General features: G+C 35.4%; 1 protein-coding gene across 18 annotated transcripts in view, besides 1 other annotated feature; it reads right to left on the bottom strand.

The window, feature by feature from the left end:
* DENND1B (DENN domain containing 1B) overlaps positions 1-23,823 on the bottom strand; it is a 277,403-nt gene that overhangs the window by 63,249 nt on the left and 190,331 nt on the right. For 17 of the 18 annotated variants that reach the window (XM_011509248.3, XM_047447711.1, XM_005244931.3 and 14 more), the window contains one exon: positions 15,156-15,257. The exons of the other annotated variant lie outside the window; for it this stretch is intronic. In XM_011509248.3, the coding sequence (XP_011507550.1) occupies positions 15,156-15,257 (102 nt within the window). The remainder of the gene's footprint in view (positions 1-15,155; positions 15,258-23,823) is intronic. 18 annotated transcript variants of the gene reach the window in all.
* Positions 4,269-5,468: an enhancer, noted in NCBI's record as "CDK7 strongly-dependent group 2 enhancer chr1:197541395-197542594 (GRCh37/hg19 assembly coordinates)". NCBI's record gives its function as "activates an origin of replication core promoter dependent on BRD2, BRD4, P300/CBP, MED14 and CDK7 cofactors, with strong dependence on CDK7, by STARR-seq in HCT116 cells {active_cell/tissue: HCT116}" and the evidence as "EXISTENCE:reporter gene assay evidence [ECO:0000049][PMID:35650434]".

Consider the following 23,823-nt stretch of genomic DNA (forward strand, 5'->3'; position numbering starts at 1 on the left):
GGAGGGAGGGAAGGAAGGAAGGAAGGAAGGGACGGAGGGAAGGCAGGCAGGGAGGGAGGGAAGGAGGGAGGGAGGGAAATTGTTTGCTCATGGCATATTACATGCGGAAAACTCTAAAGACTTGAGCAAAAAAACTGTTGGAACTAATAAGCAAAATCAGTAATGTAGCAAGATACACAATCAACGTATTAAAAAGTAGCATTTGTATACATTAATAACTATCCAAAAAGAAAGCAAGAAAATAATTAAATTTACAATAGCATAAAAAAATACTTGGGAATAAAATTAACCAAAGAAGTGAAAGACCTATACAATGAAAGCTATAACACTAATAAAAGAAACTGAAAATGACAAAATATATAGAAAAATATTCCATGTTCATGTGTTCATGGATGGAAGAATTAGCATTGCTAAACTATCCATACTACCCAAAGGGATCTACAGTTCAACGTAATTCCTACCAAGGTTCCAATGATATTTTTCTCAGAAATATAAAAATCAATCCTAAAATTCATATGGAACCACAAAAGACCTCAAATAGACAAAACAATCTTGAATAAAAGGAGCAAAGCTGGAGACATCACATTATCTGATCTCAAAATATACTATGAAGCCATAATAACCAAAATGGCATGGTACTAGCATAAAAACAGATATACAGACATATGAAATAGAATAGAAAACCCAAAAATAAATCCATACATTTCCCATCAACTGATCTTCAACTAAGGTGCTAAGAACACAAAATGGAGAAGGACATCCATGTGCAGAAGAATAAAATAGGGCACTTATCTCAGATTATATATAAAAATCAATTCAAAATGGATTTATAAACATAAGACCTGAAACCATAAAACTACAAGAAGAAAACACAGGGGAAAAGCTTCTCAACACTGGTCTGAGCAAAGATTTTTTGGATCATGACTTCAAAAGCACAGGCAACGAAAGCAAAAATAGACAAATATGATTACACAAAGGAAATAACAGAGTGAAGAGACAATCTCTGCAATGGGAGAAAATATTTGTAAATTATATCTGATAAGGAATTGATATCCAAAATATATAAAGAACTCAAACAAATTAATAAGAAAATAAATAACCCAATTAAAAATGGGCAAAATATTTGGAAAAAAAACATTGATCATAAGAAGACATACAAATGGCCAACAGTGAAAAAATGTTCAACATCACTAATCATCAGAGAAATGCAAATTAAAACCACAGTGAGACATCATGTCATACCTGTTAGGATTTTTATTATCAAAAAGACAAGAGGTAAGTTTTGGCCAGGATGTGGAGAAAAGCTAACCCTTGTACCTTACTGGTGGGAATGTAAATTAGTATAACCATTATGGAAAACAGTATGGAAGTTTCTCAAAAAACCAAAAATAGAACTATTATATGATCCAGCAATTCTGCTTCTAGGAATATATCCAAAGGAAATGAAATCAGTATGCTGAAGATCTATCTGCATTACATGTTCAATACAGCATTACTCAACAATAACAAATATATGAATCAACCTAACTGTCCATGAATGGATGAATACAAAAAGAAAATGTGGTATACACACACACACACACACACACACACACACACAATGGAACACTATTAACCCTTTATAAAGAAGAAAATCCTGTCAACTGCAACAACATGATTCAATCTGGAGGACATTATGCTAAGTAAAATAAGCCAGGCATCAAAAGACAAATAGTACATGATTTCACTAAAAAAGTCAAACTCAGAGAAGCAGAGAACAGAATGGTAGTTACCAGGGGTTGGGGTAAAGCAGACAAAATTTTAATTAGACAAGAGGAATAACAAGTTCAGGAATTCTATTGTTCAACATGGAGAGTACAGTTAATAACTATAATGTATAGTTAGTAACTATGTATTAAATACTTGAAGATTGCTAGGAGAGTAGATTTTAAACGTTCTCGCCACAAAAAATGTTAATTACATGAGTTAACTGATATGTTACTTAGCTTGATTTAGTCATTCCACAATCAAAATTGATGTTAATTAATTTAGCCATTCTATAATCAAATTCCAATATCAGAACATCATGTTATATATCATAAATATATACAATTTTTATTTGTCAAAAAAATAATGGCCAGGCACACTGGTTCATGCCTGTAACCCCAAACCACTAGGAGGCTGAGGTGAGAGGATCACCTGAGATCAGGAGATCAAGAATAGCCTAGGCAACATAGCAAGATCCCATATCTCCAAAAAAAAAAAAAAATTTAAACCAGGCTATACCATGGTTACTGAATTTTCCTTATGTGACATAGGAATTTATCTCCAAAGAAGTACTGAAGATTAGCTGAGAATGATCTCCCCTCTCCAAAACTACATGGGATTTATTTTATCAAATAATAAGTACTCAGATGTTTCCTCACAATAACAATATAGTTATCCAAGGCCCACCAGAGACTTTCGAAATAAATTTTTATTCAATTACCTGGTAAGAATAATCTTAAGAAACAAAACTAAGATTTTTCAATTTATGTCAATAAAATTACATAAACATTTGATAGAACTGAGGGCATGTTTACAAAATGGAATGGTGATTTTATTAGAGGTGGATGATCTTGAGGATTTTTACCCTAATATTATAATTTATACACTTTAGTGAATGTACTATGTTATCTTAGTGTTCTCTTTTGGTCATAAAGAGGTTACCTTTAATGAAACAGAAATCTCCCTATGTCCCTAATCTTAGAGTCTTTACTTATTATTTATGGTTGTTATCACTGTAATAAGCAAATATTTGAGTATTCAAAATCGCTTTTTATGTGTAATAATAAAAAACATGTTAAGGAGAGATTTGACTGAAATTTATTTAGCACCCAACATTGACAAGGTCCTATGCAAGAAACTGGATATATAGAATGCAATCATAAATGGTCCCAGTATTAGAAAGGTTCATAACCTATTGAGAAAATTGATATGTAAATGAATAAGACAGTTATTTAAAATGTCAATATAAAAAGACATATATGAACATTATCTCTGATTTCTTATTTCTCTCTACTCTAACCCATAAGTAAGAGTTGACAATTCTACCTCTCAAACAAACAAATTCTGTCCTGCTTCACTCCATCTTGTTTACTACCACCATCACTTCTCTCCTGGACAACTGAAAAAGCCTCATAATTGGACTTTTGCCACCTCTCTCTCCTCTAACATATTTTCACATGGTAATCTGGGCAACCTTTACAAAATACAGATCAGATCCAATCATGTGCCAGCTAAAACTTCCCTACAGCATACTGTTCCATTTAGAATAAAAGGTAAACTCCTTATGCCTTCAAAGCCTTGTATGATCTGTCCCTTTTATGCCATTCTAACCTCATTTAGTACAACTCTTTTCCATGCCCACATTTCATTTATTCGGATCTTAGAAAATGCCAAGTTCTTTCCCTCCTTTAGGTCTTTGTAACAATTCTCTCTACCTGTAACCATGTTCTTCTTTTCATATCTCAAAACTGATTCCTTCTTTAGACGTAGCTTAAATATCACCTTTTCAGTAGTGCCTTTTCTAGTCACTCAATCTAAATTGGCCATCCAGTCAATGTCTCATATACTCTGAACTTTTTGCTCACTGATATTTTTCTTATTTGCTGTTTGTTTGTTAACCCATTTCCTTCACTAGAAATATCAGCTTCATAACAGAAGGCTACACATCTCTGAATCTCAAGTGCTTGGAGTAGCAGCACCTGACACAAAATAAATAATCCATATGTAATTGTTAGAGTGAATAAACAAATAAAATGTGTTCAAACTAATAGACACACAGAAAAAAGAGTACAGACTTAGTGACAGGGAGGGACACTCAGGGAAGACTTTAGAGAGGTGAAAATACATATTAAAAAGAGAAATTACAATAACATGGGATAAATGCTACAAGTGAGATATGAATAAAAATCTAAAGGAGGGATCAGTTCCAAGATGGCCAAATAGGAACAGCTCTGGTCTGCAGCTCCCAGTGTGATCGATGCAGAAGACAGGTGATTTCTGCATTTCCGATTGAGGTACATGGTTCATCTCATTGGGACTGGTTGGGCAGTGGGTACAGCCCACAGAGGGCAAGCCAAAGCAGGGTGGGGCATCGCCGCACCCGGGAAGCACAAGGGGTTGGGGGATTTCCCTTTCCTAGCCAAGGGAAATCGTGACAGACTGTACCTGGAAAAACGGGACATTTCTGCCCAAATACTGCGCTTTTCCCATGGTCTTAGCAATCAGCAGACCAGGAGAGTCTCTTCTGTGCCTGGCTCAGTGGGTCCCACGCCCACAGAGCCTTGCTCACTGCTACCGCAGCAGTCTGAGATTGACCTGTGAGGCAGCAGCCTGGTGAGGAGAGGGGCGTCCGCCATTGCTGAGGCTTGAGTAGGTAAATAAAGGGGCCGGGAAGCTCGAACTGGGCGGAGGCCACTGCAGCTCAGCAAGGCCTACTGCCTCTATAGACTCCACCTCTGTGGGCAGGGAATAGCTGAACAACAGGCAGCAGAAACTTCTGCAGACTTAAACATCCCTGACAGCTCTGAAGGGAGCAGTGGTTCTCCCAGCATGACATTTGAGCTCTGAGAATGGACAGACTGCCTCCTCAAGCAGGTGCCTGACTCCCTGTAGCCTAACTGGGAGACACCTCCCAGTAGGGGCTAACAGACACCTCATACAGGCAGGTACCCCGCTGGGACGAAGCTTCCAGAGGAAGATCAGGCAGCAATATTTACTGTTCTGCAGCCTCCACTGTTGATACTCAGGCAAACAGGCTCTGGAGTAGACCTCCAGCAAACTCCAACCGACCTGCAGCTGAGGGACCTGACTGTTAGAAGGAAAACTAACAAACAGAAAGGAACAGCATCAACATCAACAAAAAGGACATCCACACCAAAACCCCATCTGTAGGCAAGCAACATCAAAGACCAAAGGTAGTATTCTCTGACGGTAGTTTGAATTTCTGTGGGATCGGTGGTGATATCCCCTTTATCATTTTTTATTGCGTCTATTTGATTCTTCTCTCTTTTTTTCTTTATTAGTCTTGCTAGCGGTCTATCAATTTTGTTGATCCTTTCAAAAAACCAGCTCCTGGATTCATTAATTTTTTGAAGGGTTTTTTTGGTCTCTATTTCCTTCAGTTCTGCCCTGATTTTAGTTGTTTCTTGCCTTCTGCTAGCTTTTGAATGTGTTTGCTCTTGCTTTTCTAGTTCTTTTAATTGTGATGTTAGGGTGTCAATTTTGGATCTTTCCTGCTTTCTCTTGTGGGTATTTAGTGCTATAAATTTCCCTCTACACACTGCTTTGAATGTGTCCCAGAGATTCTGGTATGTTGTGTCTTTGTTCTCGTTGGTTTCAAAGAACATCTTTATTTCTGCCTTCATTTCGTTATGTACCAGGAAGAAGTTGAATCTCTGAATAGACCAATAACAGGCTCTGAAATTGTGGCAATAATCAATAGCTTACCAACCAAAAAGAGTCCAGGACCAGACGGATTCACAGCCAAATTCTACCAGAGGCACAAAGAGAGCTGGCACCATTCCTTCTGAAACTATTACAATCAATAGAAAAAGAGGGAATCCTCCCTAACTCATTTTATGAGGCCAGTATCGTCTGGATACCAAAGCCTGGCAAAGACACAACAAAAAAAGAGAATTTTAGGCCAATATTTCTGACAAACATTGATGCGAAAATCCTCAATAAAATACTGGCAAACTGAATCCAGCAGCACATCAAAAAGCTTATCCACCACTATCAAGTCGGCTTCATCCCTGGGATGCAGGGCTGGTTTAATATACGCAAATCAATAAATGTAATCCATCACATAAACAGAACCAATGAGAGAAACCACATGATCATCTCAATAGATGCAGAAAAGGCCTCTGGCAAAATTCAACATCCCTTCATGCTAAAAACTCGCAATAAGGTATTGATGGAACATATCTCAAAATAATAAGAGCTATTTATGACAAACCCACAGCCAATATCGTACTGAATGGGCAAAAACTGGAAGCATTCCCTCTGAAAACCAGTACAAGACAAGGATGCCCTCTCTCCTATTCAACATAGTGTTGGTAGTTCTGGCCAGGGCTATCAGGCAAGAGAAAGAAATAAAGTGTATTCAATTAGGAAAAGAGGAAGTCAAATTGTCCCTATTTGCAGATGACATGATTGTCTATTTAGAAAACCCCATCATCTCAGCCCAAAATCTCCTTAAGCTGATAAGCAACTTCAGCAAAGTCTCAGGATACAAAATCAGTGTGCAAAAATCACAAGCATTCCTGTACACCAATAACAGACAATCGGAGAGCCAAATCATGAGTGAACTCCCATTCGCAATTGCTACAAAGAGAATAAAATACCTAGGAATCCAACTTACAAGGGATGTGAAGGACCTCTTCAAGGAGAACTACAAACCACTGCTCAACAAAATAAAAGAGGACACAAACAAATGGAAGAACATTCCACATTCATGGATAGGAAGACTCAATATTTTGAAAATGGCCATACTGCCCAAGGTAATTTATAGATTCAATGCCATCCCCATGAAGCTACCAATGACTTTCTTCACAGAATTGGAAAAAACTACTTTAAAGTTCATATGGAACCAAAAAAGAGCGCGCATTGCCAAGACAATCCTAAGCAAAAAGAACAAAGCTGGAGGCATCACGCTACCTAACTTCAAACTATACTACAAGGCTACAGTAACCAAAACAGCATGGTACTGGTACCAAAACAGAGATATAGGCCAATGGAACAGAACAGAGCCCTCAGAAATAACACCACACAACTACAACCATCTGATCTTTGACAAATCTGACAAAAACAAGAAATGGGGAAAGGATTCCCGATTTAATAAATGGTGCTGGGAAAACTGGTTAGCCATATGTAAAAAGCTGAAACTGGATCCCTTCCTTACACCTTGTACAAAAATTAATTCAAGATGGATTAAAGACTTAAATGCTAGACCTAAAACCATAAAAACCCTAGAAAACCTAGGCAATACCATTCAGGACATAGGCATGGGCAAGGACTTCATGACTAAAACACCAAAAGCAATGGCAACAAAAGCCAAAATAGACAAATGGGATCTAATTCAACTACACAGCTTCCGCATGGCAAAAGAAACTACCATCAGAGTGAACAGGCAACCTACAGAATGGGAAAAATTTTTTGCCATCTACCCATCTGACAAAGGGATAATACCCAGGATCTACAAAGAACTTAAACAAATTTACAAGAAAAAAAAAAACCATTAAAAAGTGGGAAAAGCATAGGAACAGACGCTTCTCAAAAGACATTTATGCTGCCAACAGACATATGAAAAAAGGGTCATCATCACTGGTCATCAGAGAAATGCAAATCAAAACCACAATGAGATACCATCTCATGCCATTTAGAATGGTGATCATTAAAAAGGTAAGAAACAACAGATGCTGGAGAGAATGTGGAGAAATAGAAAAGCTTTTACACTGTTGGTGGGAGTATAAATTAGTTCAACCATTGTGGAAAAAAGTGTGAGGATTCCTCAAGGATCTAGAACTAGAAATACCATTTGATCCAGCGATCCCATTACTGGGTATTTACCCAAAGGATTATAAATTATGCTACCATAAAGACATATGCACATGTATGTTTATTGCGGCACCATTCACAATAGCAAAGACTTGGAAACAACCCAAATGTCCATCAATGATAGACTGGATTAAGAAAATGTGGCACATATACGTCATGGAATACTATGCAGCCATAAAAAAGGATGAGTTCATGTCCTTTGCAGGGACATGGATGAAGCTGGAAACCATCACTCTCAGCAAACTATCACAAGGACAGAAAACCAAACATTGCATGTTCTCACTCATAGGTAGGAACTGAACAATGAGAACACTTGGACACAGGGCGGGAACATCACACACCAGGGCCTGTTGGCAGGTAGGGGCCTGGGGGAGGGATAGCATTAGGAGAAATACCTAATGTAAATAATGAGTTAATGGGTGCAGCAAACCAACATGGCACATGTATACCTATGTAACAAACCTGCACATTGTGCACATGTACCCTAGAACCTAAAGTATAATTTAAAAAGAAAACAGAAAAAGAAAAAGAAAAAAAAATCTAAAGAATAGAAAAGACAGAATGATCAATGTAAGAGTTGACGTTTGAAGAGGCTATGGCGGAATGACAGGAAGCATATTAATACTGATGGTGTAGTATGGCATAGACAAAACCTGACATTGTGAAATGTATGTGTGAAGGAACATTCAATGTGATTGCATATTACATTAGAATAGGAAATTGGAAAGGATTTGGAGCCCAAAGAGGCACCAAGCACCTTATATAGTGTGATACTCCATGAAAGTGGCAGAACCAGGATACAAATCCGGATCTACTGGATTCCAAGCCAATATTCTTCACAGGGGTACAGACCTGCCATTAGTGACACTCAATGGTGTGACCAAGAACACAAAGCCAAAGGATGTATGTGGTATATTTAACTGAAATTTTAGTTTTATTTTAATATGAAGGTAAGAAGAGGGTAATACAACCAGTATTTAAAATGTTTTCACTTTAAAATAAACACTGCTATGTTGTGATATAGAATGTACAACATGTATAAATGTTTTGGAAAAATGCAGAATGCTTCCTAAACTGTGCCTGTCAGTGGGCTTCTACAGCCACCCCCTTATACTCTTTAAAAATATGTATTCTCTTCTGCCATGGGGGGCACTTTTTTGGATAGAAAAGTTTGAGAAATACACATTTTTATTACTCAATGAAAGGTAGAAAAGGTTTTGGGGGAACATTAAAAAAGAGTTTTCCAATTTGAATCTTTATCATTTTCCTCCCTGATAAGAGTTAGAATTTGGGCAAGCAGAATTATTTTGAATATCTATTTAAATATATGTGAGTTCCTTCACTATTAAATAAGTTTCCTAACAGTAATCTAGATTATCAGTTAAAAAGGCCTATATTCATGGAGAGCCCGTAAGTTTATAGTTCTAGATGAGGCTCTTGGATTGACACACTAAATTCAATCAGACTGCATGAATAAATAAAATGTGTTTAAAGTAATATAGGCACAGAAAAAAAGGAGTACAGACTTAGTGAGGGGGAGGGACACTCAGGGAAGACTTTAGAGAGATGAAGTCAATATAAAAAAGATAAATTACAATAACATGGGATAAATTCTATAACTCAGACATGAACAGAGCTCTAAAGGAATAGAAAAGATGAGATGATTGACCTAAGGGTTGACATTCAAACTATTATAGCCACTTGCCATAGCTACATTGCGGTATAGAATATACAATGTATAAATGTTTTGGAAAAATGCAGAATGCTTCCTAAAATGTGCTTATCAGTGAGCTCATACAGCCACCCCCCATACTCTTTAAAAAATGCATTCTCTTCTGCCATGGGGGGCACTCTGTTGGATAGAAAAGTTTGAGAAATACACATTTATATTACTATATGAATGGTAGGAGAGGTTTTGGGGGAAAGGTTTGGTTTTGCCGTGGTCCTTAGCCATGGTGAATGTATGGTAAGATGAGCAGAAAAAACTTCAGTTCCAGGGGCCTTAATAACAAGCAATGTACAGAAGAAAATAATTTCCTTCATTGTATCAGTATGAGATAAAAGTAAGAGACCTGAAAATAATGGCTTAAGTCTTTGTAAAGCTGCTAGCTAAAGAAAGACGGTAATGTCAGAGTTGTGGATTTAAGGAACTGTTTCTGGGATTCCTTCCAAATCCATTACCTGAAGAGAAATTCATACAAATGGAACCCACTATCATCCATCTAAGCTATGTTTATTTCAAAGTATCATGGAATGTTAGAGATGAGAGGTATCTCAAACTCAGTGATCTTTTACTCTAACTCATGTTACAATGCAGAAACTGAGACCAAAAGAGGTTAAGAAGTCAACTGTCAATGAAAATACAGCCTATTACTGGATGACGTATAAACATTAAAAATATATATGTTTTAACACAATACTTTAATTAAATATTAACAGTTTAAATAATAATAATAAAGCAAGGATAGTTGGTAGCTTCTGCTTTGTTGACTGAAAGAAGGAGTGTCCAGGGGAGGGGAAGATTTTGATCAAAGGATACAAAGTTTCAGTTAGACAAGAGAAATAGGTTTTTGAGATCTACTGCATGGTACAGTGACCACAGTTAATACTAATGTATTGTACATTTCAAAATTGCTAAAAGAGTAGGGTTTTTGTTTTTGTTGTTGTTGTTGTTGTTGTTTCTTTGAGATGGAGTCTTGCTCTGTTGCCCAGGCTGGAGTGCACTGGCACAATCTCAGCTCACTGCAACCTCTGTCTCCCAGGTTCAAGCTATTCTCCTGCTTCAGCCTCCAGTGTAGCTGGGATTACAGGCGTGTGACACCTTGCCTGGCTAATTTTTGTATTTTTATTAGAGACGGGGTTTCACCATGTTGGCCAGGTTGGTCTCAAACTCCTGACCTCAGGTGATCCACCCCCATCAGCCTCACAAAGTGCTGGGATCACCAGCATGAGCCACTGTGCCCGGCCTAAAAAAGTAGATTATAAATGTTCTCAGCATTCTAAAAAATGTGAGGTGATAGATATGTTAATTAGCTTGATATAATCATTCTACAATGTGTATGTGTGTATCAAAACATCACATTGTACCCCATAAACACACACTATTGTCAATTAAAATTTTTAAAAAATAAAATACAACAAAAATTATACAATTGAAATATTTTTAAAATGATAAGTAAACTAGGAGAACACTGTCTTTCCTTATACCTATGTAACAAACCTGCACGTTGTGCACATGTACCCTAAAACTTAAAGTATAATACAAAAAAAAAAAGTCCCTCCCTTTAAGGGACCTCCCTAGTTAGCCTCACATAGTAGCTAGAACTACAGGTGTGCACCACACATCCAGCTAATTTTTGTATTTTTTGTAGAAACAGGGTTTCACTATGCTGCCCAGGCTGGTTAGACCTCTTTTAAAGGCTTTCCGAGTGATTCAGATAGGTCCACCAATTAGATTATCTAGAATAGCTTTCCAAGTGATTCAGATAGGTCCACCAATTAGATTATCTAGAATAATCTTCTTTATTTATAGTCAAATGATTAGGAGTTTTAATTTTATCTTTAAAATCCTTTCATAGCAAAACCTAAATTACTGTTTGATGGAATAATTGGGGATGGTAGCCTAGCCAAGTGGACACATTAATGAAACCAACACGAGGGGGGCAAACTCAGTTTTTGTTGGGAAATGTCCTCATGTCACTCATAATTAAAAGGTGTTTTGTTTGGCATAGAATTCTATGTATTTTTTCTCAACACACTGAAGATATCATGCCAGTATCTTCTAGATTCCATTGTTGCTGCTGTGAAGTAAGCTGTCAATATATTGCTCCTTTGAAGGTAATCTTTTTTCTCCTATTTAAATAAATTTCCATTTTGTTTAGTGTTTTATAGCTTTGGATGTATGAATATACACTGTGTGTGGGCATAGATTCTTTCTTCTTTATTCAGTTTGGATGTTAAGACTTTATAAATTTGTAAATTTATGAAGTGTATTTTCATTGGTTCTGGCACTATCCTTTCAACTACTGTCTCTGTTCCATTTTCTGTCCTCACCTATTAGAACTGACTATATGAATTTAAGGACATTCTTAGTCTACCCTCTATGTCTATCAACTTCCTATATTTTCCATTTCTGTCTTTCCATACCACATTTTGTATAACTTCTTTTTCAAATATATCTTCAGCTTAGCAAACCTCTCTTCACTTAGATTTGATCTGCAATTACACACATCAACTTATTTAATTTCAATTATTACATGCTTCCTTAACAGAAGTTTATTTGCTACCTTTTTGAAATTGGCTTTGCACTCTTTGAAGTTTTTCTTCTCTGAACATTTTAAGGCTTGTTTCTTCTTTCAACATGTTAAACATGGCTATTTTCATATTCTATTTCTGATAATTCCAATACTTAAAGTCTTTGCAAGTCAGTTTCATCTGTTGTTTCTGCTAGCTCTCATTTATAATTTCTTTCATTGTATTTTTAATAATTTTTCTTTCTTTTCTTTCTTTCTTTTTTTTTTTTTTTTTTTTTTGAGATAAGAGTCTCACTCTGTCGCCCAGGCTGGAGTGCAGTGGTGCAATCTCAGTCACTGCAAGCTCCTCCTCCCAGGTACATGCCATTTTCCTGCTTCAGCCTCCCAAGTAGCTGGGATTACATGCACCTGCCACCACGCCCAGCTAATTTTTTTTTTTTTTTTTTTTTAGTAGAGACAGGGTTTCACCGTATTAGCCAGGATGGTCTCGATCTCCTGACCTCATGATCCACCCGTCTCGGTCTCCCAGAGTGCTGGGATTACAGGTACCTGTTGCTAGGATCTAATAATTTTCTCCTGTGAGTCACTGCGCCTGGCCCTTTTAATAATTTTTAACAGCAAAATTTCCTTTTGGAATTTTAGCTGGAAGAATTATTTGATGCCTGGCTGAAGGTGATTTCCTGAAGAGGGAATATATGTTTGCCTCTTCCTGAGGTCTGGGGGCACTAACATTTAGGGTCCTTTAAATTTCGTTTGAGTTTTGTCAGCCAAAATCAGAAAATATTAATTCAGGCTGCAAATTTCTGTGCAGACTGACATGTGGTTATTTCTTAACAGCATTTTTCCCTTCCCTCTACCCAGCACTAATGCTTTGGATGTATGAGTTTCCTTACAGATCCCCAGGAAACTGACTGAGAAAGTAAACACCTTTATTTCTAGTTTACCTGTACATTAAGTCTTCTCAGAATTACAGGAACTGGGTCTCCTATTACACTTCTCATCTTGTAAAGTGAGCACTAGGCTTTGTCTCCTGTACTGTCTCAACATAAGGAGTTCTTTAAATATTACGTTTTAAATTGTAGTATGTAGGTTATTTATGGATCCTACCCTGCCATATTATCAGAAATAAAACTTCACTTTAACTCTTTCCTTAAAATTATATGCTGCTCTCCTGGGTCAGAGTCCTCTCAAATTTGAAGCATAAGTTGTTCTAAGAGATAACCTGAATAATTCTAGACCTATAATGGATCACAAAGTCATAGTCATAAATCTTTTGTACCTAATAAATATTTTTATATTTTTTCAGCCATATGAGTAGTATCTTTGAGGATTCATCTGTGTTAGTTTTTTACCAATTGACTCTTCTTTTAGAAGTTTGTGAAACTCTGTCAACGAGAATCTTTTCAATCCTTTCAGGGCTATCTTCACGTATCACTTTTTTAAGAATCATGAGCATATCAAGTTCTAGAAGACAGCCAATTTGTGCAAGTAAGACTATCCACATTGTCCACATAATTAGTTCTTTGGTTGACCATTTTCATATTTTACATTTAACGTCCTTGAACAAACTGTATTTTTTAAAAGTCCTACACAGATATGTATTTTGTTAATGTAATTTCTCTAAGAATGAGGCAGACATTAAGATTTGCTGAGCATCAACAAGGCACCATGCATTGTGCTGAGAGTGTACATGTGTTAATTCACATAAACCTTATAATAATCCTGTGAGGTAGGTGGTAATATTTCTATTTTAAAGAAAAAGAAATATGTACTCATGTAAAACAGATATTCTGCGATACAGTCAAAATGCAACCCAACTATACATGACTCCTAAAAAGTAAACTCTTCTGTAACTATGCAAAAAAATTACTGTTTTATTAACTTTATTAAGTGGTAAGGAACTAGTTACAGAAGTTCATGATCAAAGGGAAATAAGTTAGATATTCTACCTACCCATTCAATCCCTAACCCCCATATAATTTAATCTTCACAACTCAGTTTTGATAATGGAAGATAGTGCCTCTTCTTGATAGAGAAAAATACAAAAAGGTACTGATATTTTACTCAACAAGCATGCACTGCATGACTAGCTTAGGACTGTACTGTGCTATACTTCAGCATTTATAAAGCACTATCACTTGATCTTCCTTTCAACCCTGGGAAGTAATTGAGTCTATGCTTGGAGACCTCTAGGGACAAAAAGCTCCAAAAGCAGCCCACTCTATTTTTTGGAAATTCACAGGACATCTCTGATCCTGAAATCCATGCTCCTTAAGTTTGTGTACAGGATAACCTTAACCCTTTCCTTAATGTAAAACTTCACTTATTGGAAGACAGGTATCTCCCCATGCCCCAGAGTATTTTGTAATCTCAGATTATTTTTTAAAATTTCCTCAGAAGTAGTAGCATTAATTGTTGCCATGCTGACTTCTTTACTGACCTAATTTGAAGGTTATTTTGAGTGATATAGTATCTTCCCTTCTAACAGTTCAAAAAAATTATTAGACTGTCAGCTTCTCAAGGGCATTACTGAGTTTTTATTCATTTTTGTATCCTGGCCCTGAGCACAGTTTATGACACACAGTAGGTCTTCATTAAATGTTTAATTCACATAGTAAACTTTACACTTAACATTGTCATGCGGAATAAGAAAAACAAGTGTTAAGAACTTAATTCAAATTTTGTATACAGAAACTAAGACAACCCAATTTAAGACACTTGCTATGATTACACAATGGAATGACAGAAGCAGTGCATCCAAAATTTCTGAAATCTGATGTCTAGTTACTGCTTTTTTGAAATAGCAATTATATTTTCTGAACCAAAAATCAGGACAAACAGCATAACTATGAGTCTTATTATTAATTCTGAATGTATGAGTATTAAAAAGTCTTACAAAGCTTAAAAAGTTAAATATTCATTTTATGAACTATTTTATAAACTATATTACAATGGAATAATCCTATCAAAATACAGTTTGTTAGTTTACCGTATCAATCCACCATACCAAAATAACTTCTTCTAAGATGCCTTGTATAAGTAAAACTAGTCATGTTGCTGCTTCTTCTGTGAATGTATATTCTTCCTCAATGAGACTTTAAGCTCAGCCACATTTGATGAGAAATTTTTAATAGCAAAGTTATTATATAATATTTCTAGAGTGCTATGTCATAACTAGCTACGACTTACAAAATAAACAAAAATTTCCTGACATTCTAGAAAAGATGCTACTCAGGGTTTGTACATAGTTTTATAGTAATACAAATGTGTAAAACTGACAATGTTGTCTTACAAAAGAAAAATGTGGAGGTCCACTCTTACCTGCTTAAAAAGCTGGAGGTTAATGGCAGTTTCCAGGAACTGTTTCATCACGCTTGAGCGGTGCTTTACAAAACTCTCCTCACAGAAAGTGATGGGCTCACCCTAGATAGAAATAAAGATTTTAAGGGCATCAATAAAAGGTTAGTCAGAGAGAACTAGTCTCTTTAAATAGGTATGTGAAGAGTGATAGAGGAAGCGTAAGGTGCAGAAGCAACAGACCCTTCCTTACACAGAATAGTTTAGGCTAGTAGAAATATTCCTCTACTAATAAGCCTGTACTACACCTTTCTAATCCAGGATCCCATGTACTCTTAAAATTGCTCAATTTTACTCCCTCAAGTAAAAGTAAATCCCCTAAAAATAAAGATTTGACATCATCAGATTGAATTATGAGTATTAAACATAGCACACATACCTGAAAATATCACATAATTTTATTGCATCCTGATTGGAAAACACTGTTACTATAAAAACTGCTGCATGATATTTGACATTCGCACTTAGTTGTTATGATCATTAATTTGTTTTTTAATTAATGAAAAGATTTTACAATCACCTTCTCTTCATGATTGCAAAACAATTCAGGCTGGATACTTTCCAGGATAAGTCCTACTTGGGATCTGCTTTCATTAATCCTTTGCGTTAAGTAATCATATTTTTGCAAGCGTCTTGTGGTAGCTCTACCAAATGCTCCTCCAAACCAGCAAGGACTTAAATCTCAAGTCCTACTGATTCCATTTTTTTTCTATTTATTCCTTTGCATGAATGCAGAAAATCATCACCCACTGGCTAATTCCTACCACCTGCTATTTCCCTCATCAGCCTGAACAGCCCTTTAGCCCATTCAACACAAACAAAGATAAGTGACTAAACTTTATGACAAAAATGAAAACACAGATGAATAAAAATGATTCCTTCATTACAATGCACCTTGTAGCAATATTTATGTCATAGGAAAAAGAAAAAGTGTGCCTGTTTACTTTGTAATAGAACTTTGAAAAAAAATAAGAATAATTTAATTACAATTATAATTTAATCTTAAGGAAGACTCAATATTATTACAGATATCTTTAAGTACAATTCTGAAAATAGGTTCCTGTATAAATAAAATAATGAGAGTAACTAATTAAACTATTACCACTTTCTGATAAAGTTAATACACTATAGAACTGTACTGTCACATTCAGTAGACACTAATCACATGTAGCTATGTAAATGTAAATTTATGAAGATTAATTAAAATTTCAGTTCCTCAGTCATACTAGCCACATTTGAACCGCTCAATGGTCACATGTGGTTAGTGGCTACCATATTGAACAGCACAGATATAGAACATTTCCTTCAGCATAAAAAGTTTTCCTGGATAGCACTGCTATAGAAAAAAGAAAACAAAATTCAAACAAATTATTAAAGAAGACAATTCGATAAACTCTTAAGTGGTGTCACCTACCATCAGCTACCAGCCAATGATTCATAATAAAAATGTCATTACACATTTTTATACAGATGATTGCCAATTTTTTTCAGAGGGGAGGGGTTGGGGAGGGTGTCATTCTGCCATGCAGGTAGGATTATAGTGGTTCATTCATAGCTCACTGCAGCCTTGACCTCCTGGGCTCAGGTGATCCTCCCACCTCAGCCTCCCAAGTAGCTGGGACTACAGGCACATGCCACCATGCCCGGCTAACATTTTGTATTTTCTGTAGAGAAAGGGTTTCGCTATGTTGCCCAGGTTGGTCTCAAACTCCTGGGCTCAAGTGATCTCCCCACCTCGGCCACCCAAAAAGCTGGAATTCTAGGCATAAGTCACCAACCTAGCCTATTATTGCCAATGGTAAAGAGCTACAGATGACCTTTAAATTACATATTTTTTAAACCGGACTAATTTACATAAATATATTTTGGATGATCACAAATGTACTATATTTTCCACTATCACAGAATTTATAATCTATCGGAGGAAGGCAAGCCTGTTAAAAATAAAGGTCTATTGTTTTCTAATCTCTAGTACTAGCATCATCCCTAGTTACACTGGGAGCCCGATAAATGTTTTATGACTGAATTTTAAAAATAAAATAAAAATAGCAAATGAGCTAAGCCTTATTCTATATGACATATCATCTTCACAAAAATAAATACAATTTTAAAAATAAATATAAGTAATTGCCTCTAATGGCAGTTCTGGCATCACTGCTATTACAAAGTAATCAGGACTAATAGTAACTTTAGTTTTTATGGGATAGATTTTTCCTTAAACATGTAAAGATGTATTTCAAGACAAGAAGAAATGGATGAGAGACTAAAGTCTATGCTTTCTTAAGAGTTGGGCATAGTTTAATCATTAGCCTATGTGAATTAAGCTAGAAGAATTCTGTCCTCATTAACCTTTGAGTACTTTCAATCTCTCCAGAGAACAGGTAAAGAAAAAGCTCAGATTTGCTGTCCATCCACTTGTGATGACACAAATCATGGAAAAACTTTGAACTAAACCTTCAATTTGATTAACACGGTTTATTTACTAAGAATCTCTGATAATAACAAAAGGCAAAGCACTGACACATCAGAATTTTCTCTCAAGGAGAAAAATAAGTCTTTATTAATAATGCTTTAAAGTTGTATATATTAATATACAAGAACCTCAATTACTGCCATCACTGGAAGCCTCAATTACTGTCATCCTTAAGGCATATGTTATGAAAGAGATATTAATAAATGACTCTTGAGTATGAGTTCTTTAAAATCAAAGTTGAATTGAATGACATGAGAAGAATTCTGCCTATGATTTTAACCCAGGTTATGAGTATTTGAAGTTCATGTGGTTAACTACATTGTTAAACATTTCGTGGCAAAATCAATAGGACTAGTTTGTCAACTGATATGCAGTGATGTTTTTCAAAGTGTGATCCAAGGTCAGACTTTTCCACAGGATCTGTAACAACAAAAGTATTTTCATAATAATGTAAGTCATTATTGTCACTCTTCACTCTCATTTTCTCCTGAGATCCAACAGTGTTTCCCAAAAGCTACATGGTTGGCAATATTGCAATAGACTGAATACGGAATCAAATATCAGAATCCAGCTGACTTCTATTAAGCCAGATATTAAAGAGATCTGAAAAAAATGTAAAACAATGATATTGTTCAGACTAAATTTTTTTAGGAATATAGCAATTTTTCACAAAAATGTTTTATATTCATATTTAATTAGTTTATATTGCTTTTTAAATAAATGTATATTTTTTCAGTTTTAATTTCTAATATGGTAAGTATTTATACATATACCTCACATAAATTAAGGTTCTTTGATAATTTTTAAGAGTATAAAGACATCCAGAGACCAAAATGTTTGAGAACCACTGATATCGACAGTAACAAGTAGGGGTCAAAGGTGACTTCCAGATTTCTAGATTAAGGGTCATAAAATGACATTATTTATTAGAGACTGAAAATATAGAAAGAAAACCACATTTAAGGAGAAGTTGATAAAATCAATTTTGGCATATGTTTTCTGTAGTATTCCTACTGGAGCCTGAGACAGGGGTTCTTGGTTCAATTGATTTTCGCAGATCACTCTCAGGAAAAAGGTATTAAAGAAAACAAGACGGGGCAGAGGAAAAAGTCAAGCAAGAACATGGTCTCAACTGGAGACAAGCTTCAGCCGAATCCCATGGGAAAGCACTGACTGTATCACAGAGTTAATCCCACTTTGAGGCAGAGAGGCCAGCTTCTTATATCCCATATAAGAAGTGGTCTTTTTCAATGGTGAGAGGTGCAAAGATGAGGGTTGAACACAGTTTTCCTGGTGAGGCACTCCCATTTAGCTAAGTGCAATTTTTCACAAAACGGCAACAACAAGTACAGGGGATCTGGGCAGGGCACCAACAGTATCTACTACAGATGTCTGTGAAATACATGAAGATATGTAGCACAAAGCTAGAAACTCGTGTTAGGAAAATTTGTTATTTAATACATACTTAAGAATTATCTGTACAGACTTGAATATTAAAGTTGAGTTGATCAATCTACTTACAGAAAACGACTTATGCAATTGAGAAATACCCATCTATAATCTATTTTTTTAAATGTTGTATTATTCATTCACAGAAAAGTAAGTAAACATATGATTCTGTAGAGACACAAAGTAACCACGTAGAAACATAAAACAATGGAAAAGAAAATCTCTTCATGAGATAATTCTGACATGAGAGAAAAACAACTGAATATTTTGCTCCATAAAACAGTGATGGGGCAAAAAGAAAGGAATCAAAAGCAGTCATTTCGATGGAAAGCCCAACAAAGGAACATAAACAGCTATCAGGAAAACATAATCTGCAGTAGAATCGGAATAAAGTTTATATTACAGAGAAGAGAAACAGATTTTCTTAGGGACTTATTTTCTGCCATACATTCAAGGTTATTTTCATATATCTTATCTGTGAACTCTGGAGGTCGGGGACTAAATTCTTGATCATCTTTGCATTCCCTATGGCAGTGGTCCCCAAACTTCTTGGCACCAGACGCGGGTTTTGTGGAAGACAATTTTTCCACGGACCAGAGGAGTGGGGAATAGTTGTGGGATAATTCAAGCGCGTTACGTTTATTGTGTACTTTATTTATATTATTATTACATTGTAATACATAACGAAATAATTCTACAACTCACTATAATGTAGAATCAATCAGTGGGAGCCCTGAGCTTGTTTTCTTGCAACTAGATGGTCTTATCTGGGGGTAATGGGAGACAGTGACAGATCATCAGGCATTAGATTCTCATAAGGAGCATGCAACCTAGATCCCTCACATATGCAGTTCATAATAGGGGTTTTGCTCCTATGAGACAGGAGGTGGAGCTCAAGCAGTAATGTGAGCCATGGGGAGCGGCTGTAAATACAGATGAAGCTTCATTCCCTTGCCTGCCACTCACCTCCTGCCATCTGGCCTGGTTCCTAACGGGAGCTGGGGATCCCTGCCCTGCAGCACCCAACCCAGTACCCTGCATTTTGAGTGTTAAATAAATATCTGCTAGTTACTATATGAATTATTTATATAGAATAATTAAGCCACAAGTAAGTTATGGATGAAATACAGCTGTTTTTCTACCCTAGTATGCTGCTCAACTTCAGAGTGATAATCATTATTGACATAATGTTTGTGTTTGTTTGTTTTAAGAATAAGTATCTTTCAAGTTCTATATATTGTACCGGGAGTAGAAAACTTTGTAAGAACAAGAAAATACTTAAAACATAGATTAGATCTTATACTATCAGGACGTGTATGACTTAGCAAGAGTTCACTGTGAAAGAAAATTAGGGCATCAGAAAGAATGATAACGTAAAAAATGTGAAATATAATCCAAAACATCAACATTATACTTATTCAGTTCCTTAATGCACCTGGACTCAATGTAATGTCACCATTACAAAAGGAGTATAAACAAACTAAGCAAAAATGTCTGCATATTGATGGCTATTTTAAATTTAAAATATCTGAAAGACTCTGCTGTCAGATATCTCATGGGAATGTTCAAATATTTGCAGATTCTCACAGGAAATAATAATAAATGATTTTCAGGTTATACAGCATTTTTCTTCTACATGTCCCAATGCTATTATTATGTAAGATACAGCAACTCTACTTTCAGAGTATATTAACCATGGAAACAGTAATTTTCTTCCATTGTTGGCACTTTAGCTAGAAGTCAATGAAAAAGAACCTCACAGTCAAACTATAAAGTTTAATCATCAGCATCAAAATATTCTATTTGTACATATTATTTTATTACTTTATCCTCAAGTTGCTGGATCTGTCTTGAAAAAAGAAAAACTACAGCTACCTACTAATGTTCTATTTACCTATGATTCAGCAACTTAAGACAGAAAAAGGAACTAATTTTTCTAAATTAGACATTGCTGTTTCTAGCTTTTTGTGTGAATTTAAATACTTAGAAAAAATTAATAGATTGTGCATTAACTTTGTTCATACTATTAAAAATTACATTTTTCTTCCCCACAACTTAAGGCAATAAGAAAAACACTCTCCATTCTCATAAAACATATCAGTGATATATAAATGGAACACTTACTACCCAAGTCCCTAGTTCTAACTATTCCAAAGTACTTGAGGAGAAACTGTATATTATTACTGAAGCAATTAAGCAAAATTCTCTCCCTACTAATTAGAAATGAGCAGAAAGAAAGTGCCATAAAACAACTTTTATCCATTAAAAAGCCAGATGCACACCAAATATTTCTTTGGTGGTAACCATCTCTCAAGTCAACAGGTCTATCTGTGCTCAAGCAAGAGAAATGACATGAAAGGATGTGTAAAATGTTTTAGTAACCATAAAACTGTGAGTAGTACTTTTCAACTTGGATTTTTAAAACTCTAATAAGTTGACAATTACAAGTTTCTTAAATGTAAATGTTAAGACAAAGATTTAGTGAATGGCCTTTTAAATTATGGATGCCAACCCTGTGTTTAAATTGCTTGAGCTTAATCACTAAATACAACAACATTACTTACTGATAATGTTTTAAAGAAAATAATCAAAAAATGTTTGAAAGATAACTCCTCCACCTTGTCAAACGGAGGACCGGATTACTAACCAATCTTTATTCTTAAAGTAACTTATTTTTTATCCATTAGCAAGGTTCAAGGCAGCCCAGGAAAGCTTGAGTGATGGAAACACATGACAGCACCTTAAGCATTAAAGGGAATAAACTTGAGTGTTACTTCTGTGCTCTCAGGCAGGATAATCAAGTATGTCTTTGAATATACTAAACAATATTTTAACTCAAACAAACATTTCTTCAGCATTAGCTGTTATTTAAAAATTTGACTTATTTTTTTATAGCTTCTGACACAAGTGATACAAAGAGGTATAACTAAAGACCATTTCTTAGTTATTTAATACAATCATTTAAAAGTATTGTCATGTTTAAGGCAGTGTTTTCCTTTCTGGAAAGATGCTTTGTTTGTGGTTATGCTAAAGGGATTTTCCTTACTAAATCTACTGATTTTAATATTTTATTTTTAATAATGACGACGTAAACAGCATTTACTACATGGCAATCCAAGAAGCATCATTACTTTTTTTTAACAAATGCGAACACCAAAGCACTAATAGGTTAATTTGCCCCAAGTCATACAACTAGTTGGTCACCGAATGAGGATGAATCCAGGCAGTATGGTTACAGAGTCTTGTGCTCTTACCGCTTTTCTTCCATTCATTTAGTACATTAATTTTATCTCACATTTTTCAATTCTTAAAAAGTAGCTAACTTACTGTTGGCTAAAATCCAAAAAAAAGAGTAAAATATTCATTACTTTATTTAAATTTCCAACAACTTTAAGGAGTTTTATATTTTTCTCTGTAATTAAGGGTAGGTACAATTTATTTGCCAATCATGCCAAGGTAACATTTAGAGAGTGTGGATTACACACTGTAAGTAACAACAATTTAGGGTTGCCAGCTTAGACGTTTTAAGTACTTAATTTATAAAATAAGTTACTCTTTAGCAGAATTTAGCTTATGTATTTAGTATCTGTATAGGGATATGCAAATCATCCTAGTGGGTATTTTTCTCATAATCCACATCCACTGGTTCCCCAGTACTCCTGTCTTCCTTCCTAAGGTCTTTGAGATTTGAGCCTTCAGGATATTCACAAAGGTCCTTTCTTCCTCTTCTTCAATAAGACCATAATAGCCACACCTGTCTCCCCGCCTCTGGTCTTGCTCAACTTTGATCTAACATGAACATCATAAAAGTGAACTGTCTAATATACAACACTAAGCACTGCATTCCCATGATAAATAATTGTAAACACTGTGCATTAATTGTAAGATAAAGCTGAAACTCTCCTGATTGAAGGTCATTTATGACTGGTTCTGCTGCCTCTATAGGAGCGAATCCTAACCCTTTTTGGTTTTATTCTTTTTTGAGAACATGGTGAAAGACATGAAAAATGCACATTTTCAATAGTTATCTCCCAGGTTTCTTGTTTCCCATACATTTAGAAGTATAATTTTCTTTTATAATTTTCGGATTCGTTTTGTTTATTACTGCTAGAGAAGAAATGACTATATCACCCTTTATCACTATAAGCTCCTGTGGGGATGGGGGCAGGGCACATGCTGAACATTATTTTTTGGTCCAGAAGCTTCAGAGAGGTCCTATTATAGCTGCATTCAACATATATCTGATAAACATAAATTATATCTATAATGCATCCTAATAAACAGAAGAAGTATATTCTTATACAATGAAGCAGCTTGCCATTGACTTTTACTTTAGATGCTTTTCTGCAGAAAGAGAAAAATAGACAAATCAAAACTCCCTTTCAGTACAATATATTCAGTCCTGCTGTGTAGAGCATTAAGACAAAGAAGGGAAGAGAAGAATTAGAAGACTAAAGGGAAGAGGATGAAGCAGTTTGAGTAGTAGTAGTTACTCCAGGTAAACAAAACCATAAATGGAAAGAGACAGCATAAATATCAAATAATTTCTCCAATTTATATACCCATTATGAGATGCCTATACCACCTGTTTCCATTAAGAAAATTCCTAAGATTTTGTATTCAGTTTGGTCTTTCCATTAGTGAATACTGAATGCCTTTCATGTATCTTCATTTAGAAGTAATGCACGTTCAGGAAACATATCTTAAGAA

The sequence above is a fragment of the Homo sapiens genome, chromosome 1 (genome assembly GCF_000001405.40).
Source record: "Homo sapiens chromosome 1, GRCh38.p14 Primary Assembly".
Classification (NCBI taxonomy): Eukaryota; Metazoa; Chordata; class Mammalia; order Primates; family Hominidae; genus Homo; species Homo sapiens.